At 35.7% G+C, this 12,966-nt stretch overlaps 1 annotated feature.

Moving 5' to 3' along the window:
* Nucleotides 1-12,966: part of a centromere (Linear centromere model derived predominantly from reads generated in PMID: 17803354. This region does not represent an actual centromere sequence, as long-range ordering of repeats and unmapped WGS contigs is not provided by the model. For details of model production, see http://arxiv.org/abs/1307.0035.) that runs on past both edges of the window.

Genomic DNA, 12,966 nt, shown 5'->3' on the forward strand with positions numbered 1-12,966 from the left:
TGAGAAGTTTGGAAAGAGTCTTTTTAGGAGAATCTGCAAAGGATATTTTGAGCGCTTTGATAGGTATGGTGCAAGGGAAATATTTTCATATAAAAAACTGGACAGAAGCTTTCTGAGAAACTTCTTTGTGATGTGCGCATTCATCTCACAGAGTTGAACCTTTCTTTTGATTGAGCACTTTGGAAAGAGTCCTTTTCTAGAATCTGCAGAAGGATATTTATGAGTCCTTTATGGCCTAAGGTGAAATAGGAAATATCTTCACATAAAAACTAGACAGAAGCATTCTGAGAAACTTTTTTGTGAAGTGTGCTTTCATCTCACAGAGTTGAAGCTCTCTTTTCATTGAGGAGTTTGGAAACAGTCTTTTTTGTAGAATATGCAAATAGATATTTGGAGCGCTTTGAGGCCTATGGTGAAAAAGGAAATATCTTCACATAAAAACTAGCCAGAAGCATTCTTAGAAACTTCTTTGTGATGTATACATTCATCTCACAGAGTTGAATCTTTCTTCTGATTGAGCAGTTTCAAAACAGTCCTTTTGTAGAATCTGCAAAGGGATGTTTGTGAGCCCTTTGAGGCCTATGGTGAAATAGGAAATATCTTCACATAAAAACTAGTCAGAGGATTTCTGAGAAACTTCTTTTTGATGTGTGCTTTCATCTCACAGAGTTGAACCTTTCTTTTTATTGAGCAGTTTTGAAACACATTTTTTGTAGAATCTGCAAATGGATATTTGGAGCACTTTGAGGACTATGGTGAAAAAGGAAATATTTTCACAGAAACCTAGAAAGCAACATTCTATGAAACTTCTTTGTGATATGTGCTTTCGTTTCACAGAGTTGAACCTTTCTATTCATTGAGCAGTTTGGAAAACATCTTTTTGTAGAATCTGCAAATGGACATTTGGAGAGGTTTGAGACCTTGTTGAGAAAGGAAATATCCTCACATAAAAACTAGACAGAAGCATTCTGAGAAACTTCTTGGTGACATGTGCATTTATCATACAGAGTTGAACCTTTCTTTTGATTGAACAGTTTGGAAACAGTCTTTTTGTAGTATCTCCTAAGGGATGTTTGCATGTGGTTTGAGGCCTATGTTGAAAAAGGAAATATCTTCACATAAAAACTAGACAGAAGCTTTCTGAGAAACTTCTTTGTGATGTGTGAATTCATCTCACAGTGTTGAACCTTTCGTTGGATTGAGCAGTTTGGAAACAATTATTTTGTAGAATCTGCAAAGGTATATTTCTGAGCCCATTGAGGCCTATGGTGAATTATGAAATATCTTCACATAAAAACTAGACAGAAGGTTTCTAAGAAACTTCTTTGTGCTGCGTGCTTCCATCTCACAGAGTTGAACCTTTCTTTTGATTGAGCAGTTTGGAAACACTCTTTTTGTAGAATCTGCAAATGGATATTTGGAGGACTTTGAGGCCCATGGTAAAAAAGGAAATATCTTCACATAGAAACTAAATGGAAGCTTTCTGATCAACTTTTTTTGTGATGCATGCACTCATCTCACAGAGTTGAACCATTCTTTTGATTGAGCAGTTGGAAACAGTCTTTTTGTAGAATCCGCAAATGGGTATTTGGAGCGGTTTGAGGCCTATGGTGAAAAAGGAAAGTTCTTCACATAAAAACGAGACAGAAGCATTCTGAGAAACTTCTTTGTGATGAGAGATTTCATTTCACAGAGTTTAAACTTTCTTTTCATTGAGCAGTTTGGAAACAGTCTTTTTGTAGAATCTGCAAAGGGATATTTGTGAGCCATTTGAGGCATGTGGTGAAAAAGGAAATACCTTCACATAAAAACTAGACAGAAGCATTTTGAGAAACCTCTTTGTGATGTTTGAATTCATCTGACAGAGTTGAACCTTTCTTTTGATTGAGCAGTTTGGAGACAGTCTTTTTGTACAATCTGCAAAGGGATATTTCTGAGCCGTTTGAGGCCTATGATGAAAAAGAAATATCTTCCAATAAAAACTAGACAGAAGCATTCTTAGAAACTACTTTGTGATGTGTCCATTCATCTCACAGAGTTGAAATTTTCTTTTGATTGAGCAGTTTGGTAACAGTATTTTTGTAGCATCTGCAAATGTATATTTGTGAGCCCTTTATGGCCTATGGTGAAATAGGAAATATCTTCACATAAAAACTAGACAGTAGCTTTTTGAGAAACTTCTCTGTGATGTGTGCTTTCATCTCACAGATTTGAAAATGTTTTTCAATTGTGCAGATTGGAAACAGTCTTTTTGTAGAAACTGCAAATGGATATTTGGATCGCTTTGAGGCCTATGGTGAAAAAGGAAATATCTTCACATAAAAATTAGATGGAAGCATTCTGAAAAACTTCTTTCTGACATTTGCATTCATCTCACACTGTTGAACATTTCTTTGATTGAAGATTTGGAAACACTTTTTTTTTGTAAAATCTACAAAGGGATAATTGTGAACCCTTTGAGGCCTATTGTGAAGTAGGAAATATCTTCATATAAAAACTACACAGAAACATTCTGAGAAACTTTTTTTGTGATGGGTGCATTCATCTCACACAGTTGAAGCTTTCTTTTGCTAGAGCAGTTTGGAAGCAGTCCTTTGTAGAATCCCCAAAGGGATATTTCTGAGCTCATTGAGGCCTTTGGTGATATAGAAAGTATCTTCACATAAAAGCTAGACAGAAGCTTTCTGAGAAACCTCTTTTAATGAGTGCTTTCATCTCAAAGAACTGAGGGTTTCTTTTGACTGAGCAGTTTGGAAACACTCTTTTTGCAGAATCTGCAAGTGGATAATTGGAGTGCTTTGAGGCCTATGGTGAAAAAGGAAATATCTTCACATAAAAACTAAACAAAAGATTTCTGAGAAACTACTTTGTAATGCGTGCATTCATCTCACAGCGTTGAAACTTTCTTTTGATTGAGCTGTTTGTAAACAGTCTTTTTGTAGAATCTGTAAATGGATATTTGGAGTGCTTTGAGGCCTATGGTGAAAAAGGAAATATCTTCACAAAAAAACTAGAAAGAAACATTCTGAGAAACTTCTTTGTGATGTGTGCTTTCATCTCACAAAGTTGAACCTTTCTTTTCATTGAGCAGTTTGGAAACAGACTTTTTGTAGAATCTGGAAATGCACATTCAGAGCACTTTGAGGCCTATGGTGAAAAAGGAAATATCTTCAGATAAACACTAAACAGAAACTTTCTGAGAAACTTCTTTGTGATACGTTCATTCATATTACAGGGCTGAACCTTTCTTTTGATTTAGCAGTTTGTAAACAGTCTTTTGGTAGAATCTGCAAATGGATACTTGGAGTGGTTTGAGGCCTATGGTGAAAAGGAAAAGATCCTCACAAAAAAAACTAGAAAGATACATTCTGAGAAACTTCTTTGTGATGTGTGCTTTCACCTCACAGAGTTGAAACTTTCTTTTCATTGAGCAATTTGGAAACAGTCTTTTTGTAGAATCTGCAAATGGATATTTGGAGCGCTTTGAGGCCTATGGTGAAAAAGGAAATATCTCACATAAACACTAGACAGAAGCATTTTGAGAAACTTCTTTGTGTTGTGTCCATTCATCTCACAGAGTTGAACCTTTCTTTGTATTGAGAAGTTTGGAAACAATCTTTTTGTAGAATCTGCAAAAAATATTTGTGAGCCCTTTATGGCCCATGGTGAAACAGGAATTATCCTCACAGAAAGACTAGACAGAAACTTTCTGAGAAACTTCTTTGTGATGTGTGCTTTCAACTCACAGAGTTGAACCTCTCTTTTGATTGAGCAGTTTGGAAACAGTCTTTTTGTGGAATCTGCAAATGGATGTTTGGAGCGTTGAGGCCTATGGTGAAAAAGGAAATACCTTCACATAGAAACTAGGCAGAAGCATTCTGAGAAACATCTCTGTGATGTGTGCATTCATCTCATAGAGGTGAACTTTTCTTTGACTGAGCAGTTTGGAAACAGACCTTTTGTAGGATCTGCAAAGGGATATTTCTGAGCCCATTGAAGCCTAGGGTGAAAAAGTAATATCTTCACATAAAAACTAGACAGAAGCATTCTGGTAAACTTTTTTGTGATGTGTCCATTCATCTCACAGAGTTGAAACTTTCTTTGGATTGAGCAGTTTGGAAACAGTCTTTTTGTAGAATCTGCAAAAAATATTTGTGAGCCCTATATGGCCCATGGTGAAATAGGAAATATCTTCACAAAAAAAAACTAGACAGAAGCTTTCTGAGACACTTCTTTGTGATGTGTGCTTTCATGTCACAGTGTTGAACCTTTCTTTTGATTGAGCAGTTTGGAAACACTCTTCTTGTAGAATCTGCAAATGGGTATTTGGACTGCTTTGAGGCCTATGGTGAAAAAGAAAACATATTCACATAAAAAATACTGGACAGATGCATTCTGAGAAACTTCTGTGTGATGTGTGCATTCATCTCACAGCGTTGAATCTGTCTTTGGATTCAGCAGTTTTCTAAAAATTCCTTTTGTAGCATCTGCAAAGGGATATTTCTTAGCCCATTGAGGCCTATGGTGAAAAAGGAAATATCTTCAAATAAAAACAAAACAGAAGCCTTCTGAGAAACTTCTTTGTGATGTGTGCATTCATCTCAGAGTGTTGGACCTTTCTTTTGATTGAGCAGTTTGGAAACAGTCTTTTTGTAAAATCTGCAAAGGGATATTTCTGAGCCGTTTGAGGCCTATGGTGAAAAAGAAATATCTTCACATAAAAACTAGACAGAAGCATTCTGAGAAACTTCCTTTTGATGTGTGCATTCATCTCACAGAGTTGAACATTTCTTTTGTTTGAGCAGTTTGGAAACAGTCTTTTTTTAGAATATGCAAACGGATATTGTTGAGCCCTTTACAGCCTATGATGAAATAGGAAATACCTTTACATAAAAACTAAAAAGAATCATTCTGAGAAACTTCTGTGTGATGTGTGCATTAATCTCACAGAGTTGAGCCATTGTTTTCATGGAGCAGTTTGGAAACAGTCTTCTTGTGGTATCTGCAGAGGGATATTTGTGAGCACTTTAAGGCCTATGGTGAAAAAGGAAATATCTTCACATAAAAACTAGACAGAAGCATTCTGAGAAACTTCTTTTTTATGTGTGCATTCATCTCACAGAGATGAATCTTCCTTTTCATTGAGCAGTTTGGAAACAGTCCTTTTGTACAATCTGCAAAGGAATATTTCTGAGCGGTTTGGGGCCTATGGTGAAAAAGTAATATCTTCACATAAAAACTATACAGAAGCAATCTGAGAAACTTCTGTTTTGTGGGTGCTTTCACATCACAGAGTTGTAACTTTCTTTTCATTGAGCAGTTCGGAAACAGTCTTTTTGTAGAATCTGCAAAGGGATATTTGTGGGTTCATTGAGGCCTGTGGGGAAATAGGAAATAGCCTCACAGAAAAAATAGATAGAAGCTTTCTGAGAAACTTTTTTGTGATGTGTGCTTTCATCGCACAGAGTTGAACTTTCCTTTGATTGAGCAGGTTATAAGCAGTCTTTTTGTAGAATCTGCAAATGGATATTTGCAGCATTTTAGGCCTATGATGAACAGGAAATATCTTCATATAAAAACTAGATAGAAGCATTCTGAGAAGCTGATTTGTGATGTGTGCATTCATGTCACAGAGTTGAAACTTTCCTTTGATTGAGCTGTTTGGAAAGAGTCCTTTTGTAGAATCTGCAAAGGGATATTTGTGAGCCCATTGAGGCCTATGGTGAAATAGGAAATATCTTCACATAAAAACTTGACAGAAGCTTTCTGAAAAACTTCTTCATGCTGTGTGCTTTCAGCTCACAGAGTTCAACCTCTCTTTTGATTGAGCACTTTGGAAACACTCTTTTTGTAGAGCCTACAAATGGATACTTGGAGTGCTTTGAGGCCTATGGTGAAAAAGGAAATATCTGCAAATAAACACTAGACAGAAACTGTCTGAGAAACTACTTTGTGATGCGTGCTTTCATCTCACAGATTTGGACCTTCGTTTTCATTGAGCAGTTTGGCAACAAGTCATTTTGTAGAATCTGCAAAGGGATATTTGTGAGCGGCTTGAGGCCTATGGTGAAAAGGTAAATATCTTCACATAAAACCTAGACAGAAACATTTTGAGAAAACTCATTGTGATGTTTGCATTCATCTCATTGAGTTGAACCTTTCTGTTTATTGAGCAGTGTGGAAACATATTTTTTGTGCAATCTGCAAATGAATATTTGTTTGTGGTTTGAGACCTATGGTGAAAAAGTAATATCTTCACATAAAAACTGGACAGAAGCATTCTGAGAAACTAATTTTTTATGTGTGCATTCATCTCACAGAGTTGAACCTTTCTGTTTATGAAGTAGTTTGGAAACAGTTTTTTGTAGAATCTGAAAAGGGATATTTGTGATCCCTTTGAGGCCTAAGGTGAAATGGGAAATATCTTCACATAAAAACTAGACAGAATCTTTCTGAGAAACTTTTTGTGATGTGGGCTTTCATCTCACAGATTTGAACCTTTATTTTTATTGAGCAGTTTGGAAAGAGTCTTTTTGTAGTATCTGCAGAGGGCTATTAGTGAGTGGACCAAGGCCTATAGTGAAAAAGGAAATGGCTTCTCAAAAAAACTAGACAGAAGCATTCTGAGAACGTTCTTTGTGATGTGTGCATTCATCTCACAGAGTTAAGCCTTTCTTTTGATTGAGCTGTTTGGAAACAGTTTTTAGCTCATTGAGGCCTACTTTGAAATGTGAAATATCTTCACATAAAAACTAGATAGAAGGTTTCTAAGAAACTTCTTTGTGATGTGTGCTTTCATCTCACAGAGTGGAACCTTTCTTTTGATTGAGTGGATTGGAAACACTCTTTTTGTAGAATCTGCAAGTGGATATTTGGAGTGCTTTGAGGCCCATGGTGAAAAAGGAAATATCTTCACATAAAAAGTAAACAGAAGTTTTTTGAGAAACTTCTTTGTTATGTGTGCATTCATCTCACAGAGTTGAACAGTTCTTTTGATTGAGCAATTTGGAAACAGTCTTTTTGTAGAATCTGCAGGTGGATATTTGGAGCGCTTTGAGGCCTATGGTGAAAAAAGGAAATTTCTTCACATAAAACTAGACAAAAGCGTTCTGAGAAACTTCTTTGTGATGTGTGCTTTCATCTCAGAGTTTAACCTTTCTTTCATTGAGCAGTTTGGAAACGGTCTTTTTGTAGAATCTGAAAAGGAATATTTATGAGTGGCTTGAGGCCTGTGGTGAAAAAGGCAATACCTTCACATAAAAACCAGACAGAAGATTTTTGAGAAACCTCTTTGTGATGTTTGTATTCATCTCCCAGAGTTGAATCTTCCTTTTCATTGAGCTGTTTGGAAACCGTCTTTTTGCACAATCTGTAAAGGGATATTTCTGAGTGATTTGAGGCCTATGGTGAAAAAGAAATATCTTCACATAAAATTAGACAGAAACATTCCAGGAAACTTCTCTGTGATGTGTGCATTCATCCCACAGAGTTGAACCTTTCATTGCATTCAGTAGTTTGGAAACAGTCTTTTCATAGAATCTGCAAAGGGATATTTCTGAGCCCTTTGAGGACTATGGTGAAATAGGAAATATCTTCACATAAAAACTAGACAGAATCTTTTTGAGAAACTTCTTTGTGATGCATGCTTTCATCTCACAGAATTGAACCTTTTTTTTGATTGAGCAGTTTGGAAACAGTCCTTTTGTAGAATCTGCAAAGGGATATTTCTGAGCCCTTTGAGTCCTATAGTGAAATAGGAAATATCTTCACATAATAACTAGACACAAGCATTCTGAGAAACTTCTTTGTGATGCGTGCTTTCATATCACAGATTTGAACCTTTCTTTTCATTGAGCAGTTTGGGAACAAGTCATTGTATAGAATCTGCAAAGGTATATTTTTGAGCAGTTTGAAGCCTATGGTGAAAAACTAAATATCTTCACATAAAAACCAGGCAGAAGTTTTTGAGATAACTCTTTGTGATGTTTGCATTCATCTCAAAGAGTTGAACCTTTCTGTTCATTGAGGAGTTTGGAAACATTCTTTTTGTGCAATCTGCAAAGGAATATTTCTGAGTGGTTTCAGGCCTGTGGTGAAAAAGAAATATCCTCACATAAAAACTAGACAGAAGCATTCTGAGAAACTTCTTTTTTATATGTGCATTCACCTCACAGAGTTGAACATTTTTTTTCATTAAGCAGTTTGGAAACAGTGTTTTTGTAGAATCTGCAAAGGGATATTTGTGATCCCTTTGAGGCTTATGGTGAAATAGGAAATATCTTCACAGAAATACTAGACAGAAGCTTTCTGAGAAACTACTTTGTGATATATGCTTTCATCCTACAGAGTTGAACCTTTCTTTTGATTGATCACTTTGGAAACAGTCTTTTTGAAGAATCTACAAAAGGATATTTGGAGAGCTTTGAGGCCTATGGTCAAAAAGGAAATATACTCACATTAAAAACTAGACAAAAACATTTTGAGAAACTTCTTTGTGATGTGCACTTTCATTTCACAGTGTTGAACCTTTGCTTTGATTGAGCAGTTTGGAAACAGTCTTTTTGTACAATCTGCAAAGGGATATTTCTGGGCCATTTGAGGCCTATGGTGAAAATGAAACATCTGCACATAAAAACTAGACAGAAGCATTCATGAGAAACTTCTTTGTGATGTGTCCATTCATGTCACAGAGTTGAACATTTCTTTTGATTGAGCAGTTTGGAAACAGTCGTTTTGTAGAATCTGCAAAGGGATATTTGTGAGCCCTTTAGGGCCTGTGGTGAAATACAAAATATCTTCACATAAAAACTAGACAGAAGCATTCTGAGAAACTTCTTTGTGATGTGTGCTTTCATCTCACAGTGTTGAACGTTTCTTTTGATTAAGCAGTTTGGAAAATCTTTTTGTAGAATCTGCAAATGGATATTTGGAGCTATTTGAGGCCCATGGTGAAAAAGGAAGTACCTTCACATAAAAACTAGACAGAAAATTTCTGAGAAACTTCTTTGTGATGTGTGAATTCATGTCACAGAATTCAACCTTTCTTTCCATTGAGCAGTTTGGAAACAGTCTTTTGTAGAAGGTGCAAAGGGAAATTTCTTAGCTGTTTCAGGCCTATGGTGAAAAAGAAATATCTTCACATAAAAACTAGACAGAGGCATTCTGAGAAACTTCTTTTTATGTGTGCATTCACCTCCCAGAGTTGAACGTTTCTTTTCATTGAGAAGTTCAGAAACAGTCTTTTAGTAGAATCTGCCAAAGGATCTATGTGAGCCCCTTGAGGCCCATGGTGAAATAAGAAATATCTTCACAGAAAAACTAGACAGAAGCATTCTGAGAAACTTCTTTGTGATATTTGCATTCATCTCAGAGAGTTGGAACTTTGTTTTGATTGAGCAGTTTGGAAGCAGTCTTTTTGATATATCTGCAAATGGATATTTGGAGCGCTTTGTGACTTGTGGTGAAAAACTGAATATCTTCATATAAAACCTAGTTAGAAACCTTCTGAAGAACTTCTTTGTGATGTGTGCTTTTATCTCACAGAGTTGAACCTTTCTTTTCATTGAGCAGTTTGGAAGCAGTCTTTTTGAAGTATATGCAGAGGGATATTTGGGATTGGTTTAAGGCCCATGGTGAAAGAGTAAATATCTTCAGATAAAAACTAGACAGAAGCATTCTGAGAAAGTTCTTTGTGATGTGTACATTCATCACACAAAGCTGAAAATTTCTTTTTATTGAGCAGTTTTGAAACAGTCTTTTTGTCCAATCTGCAAAGGGATACTTCTTAGACGTTTGAGGCCTATGGTGAAAAAGAAATATCTTCACATAAAAACTAGACAGAAGCTTTCTGAGAAACTTCTGTGTGATGTGTTCATTCATCTCATACAGTTGAAATTTTCTTTTGATGGAGCAGCTTGGAAACAGTCTTTTTGTATATTCTGTAAAGGGATATTTGTGATCCCTTTATGGCTTAAGGTGAAATATGAAATATCTTCACATAAAAATTAGAAGCTTTCTGAGAAACTTATTTGTGATGTGTGCATTCACCTCACAGAGTTGAAATTTTCCTTTGTTAGAGCAGTTTGGAAAGAGGCCTTTTGTAGGATCTCCAAAGGGATATTTTTGAATCCACTGAGGCGTATAATGAAAAAGGAAATATCTTCACATTAAAACTACAAAGAAACCATCTGAGAAACTTCTTTGTGATGTGCACTTTCATTTCACATGTTGAACCTTTTCTTTGATTGAGCAGTTTGGAAAGAGTCTTTTTGGACAATCTGCAAAGGGATATTTCTGAGTCATTTGAGGCCTGTGGTGAAAAAGAAATGTATTCACATAAAAACTAGACAGAAGTATTCTGATAAACTACTTTGTGATGTGTGCATTCATCTCACAGGGCTGAATCTTTGTTTTGATTGAGTAGTTTGGAAAAAGTCCTTTTGTAGAATCTGCAAAGGGATATTTGGAGAGCTTTCAGGCCTATGTTGAAAAAGGAAATATATTCACATAAAAAGTAGACAGAAGCTTTCTGAGAAACTTATTTGTGATGTGTGCATTTGTCTCACATAGTTGAACATTTCTTTTGATTGAGCAGGTTGGAAACAGTCTTTTTGTAGTATCTGCAGAGGGATATTTGTGGGCAGTTTGACACCTATGGTGAAAAAGGAAATATCTTCACATAAAATCTAGACAGAAGCATTCTGAGAAATTTTGTGATGTGTGAATTCATATAACAGAGTTGAAAATTTCTTTGGAGTGAGCAGTTTGGAAAGAGTCCTTTTGTAGAAACTGCAAAGGGATATTTCTGAACCATTGAGGCCTACGGTGAAATATGAAATATCTTCACATAATAACTAGACAGAATCTTTCTAAGAAACTTCTTTGTGATGTGTGCTTTCATCTCAAAGAGTTGAAACTTTCTTTTGATTGAGCAGTTTGGAAGCATTCTTTTTCTGGAATCTGCAAATAGATATTTGTAGAGTTTTGAGGCCTATCGTGAAAAAGGAATTATATTCACATAAGAAGTAGACTGAAGCATTCTCTGAAACTTCTTTGTGACGTGTGCATTCATTTCACAGAGTTGAACATTTATTTTGATTGAGCAGTTTGGAAACAGTCTTTTTGTAGTATCTGCAGGGGGATATTTGTGAGCAGTTTGAGGTCTATGGTGAAAAAGAAATATCTTCACATGAAAACTAGACAGAAGCATTCTGAGAAACTTTTGTGATGTGTGCATTCATCTCACAGAGTTGAACCTTTCTTTAGTTTGAGCAGTTTGGAAACAGTCCTTTTGTAGAATCTGAAAAGGGATATTTCTGAGCCCATTGAGGCCAACGGTGAAATATGAAATATCTTCACATAATAACTAGACAGAAGCTTTCTAAGAAACTTCTTTGTGATGTGTGCTTTCATCTCACAAAGTTGAAAGTGTCTTTTATTTGAGCAGTTTAGAAAGACTCTTTTTGTAGAATCTGTAAATGGATATTTGGAGTGCTTTGAGGCCTATGGTGAAAAAAGAAATATCTTCACATAAAAACTAAACAGAAACTTTCCAAGAAACTTGTTTGTGATGTCTACATTCATCTGACAGAGTTGAATGTTTCTTTTGGTTGAACATTTTGGAAAGAGTATTATTGTACAATATGGAAAGGGATATTTCTGAGCCGTTAGAGTCCTATGGTGAAAGAGAAATACCTTCACATAAAAAGTAGACAGTAGCATTATGAGAAACTGCTTTGAGATGTCACAGAGTTGAACCTTTCTTTTGATTCAACAATTTGGAAAAAGTCTTTTTATAGAATCTGCAAAGTGATATTTGTGAGTCCTTTGTGGCCTCAGGTGAAATAGGAAATATCTTCACATAAAAACTAGACAGAAGCTGTCTGAGTAACTTCTTTGTGATGTGTGCTTTCATCTCACAGAGTTAAAAATTTCTTTTTATTGAGCAGTTTGGAAACAGTCTTTTGTAGAATCTGCAAATCAATGTTTGGATCACTTTGAGGCCTATCGTTAGAAGGGAAGTATCTTCACATAAAAACTAGACAGAAGCTTTCTGAGAAACTTCTTTGTGTTGTGTGCTTTCATCTCACAGAGTTGAACCATCCTTTTGATTGAGCAGTTAGGAAACAGTCTTTTTCTACAATCTGCAAAGGGATATTTCTGAGGGGTTTGAGGCCTACGGTGAAAAAGAAATATCTTCATATGAAAACTAGACAGAAGCATCCTGAGAAACTTCTTTGTGATGTGTGCATTCATCTCATAGGGTTGAACCTTTCTTTTAATTGAGCAGTTTGGAAACAGTCTTTTTGTACAATCTACAAAGGGATATTTCTGAACGGTTTGATGCCTATGTTGAAAAAGAAATATCTACATATAAATACTAGACAGAAGCATTCTGAGAAACTGCTTTTTTATGTGTGCATTCTCTCACAGAGTTGAAACTTTCTTTGCATGGAGCAGTTCAAAAACTGTCTTTTTGTAGAGTCTGCAAAGGGATATTTGTGAGCTCTTTGAGGCCTATGGTGAAATATGAAATATCTTCACATAAAAACTAGACAGAAGCATTATGAGAAACTTCTTTATGATGTGTGCTTTCATCTCACAGAGTTGAACATTATTTTTGATTGAGCAGTTTGGAAACACTCTTTTTGTAGAATCTGCAAATGGATGTGTGGAGTGCTTTGAAGCCTATGTTGAAAAAGGAAATATCTTCACATAAAACTTTCTGAAAAACTTCTTTGTGATGTGTGCATTCATCTCACAGAGTTGAGCCTTTCTTTTGATTGAGCGGTTTGGAAACAGTCTTTTTGTAGAATCTGCAAATGGATATTTGGAGCGCTTTGAGCCTATTGTGAAGAAGGAACTATCTTCACATAAAAACTAGATAGAAATTTTCTGAGAAACTTCTTTGTGATGTTTGCATTCATCTCACAGAGTTGAACCTTTCTTTTCATTTGACAGTTTGGA

This window comes from Homo sapiens, chromosome 14 (assembly GCF_000001405.40).
Source record: "Homo sapiens chromosome 14, GRCh38.p14 Primary Assembly".
NCBI classification, from domain to species: domain Eukaryota; kingdom Metazoa; phylum Chordata; class Mammalia; order Primates; family Hominidae; genus Homo; species Homo sapiens.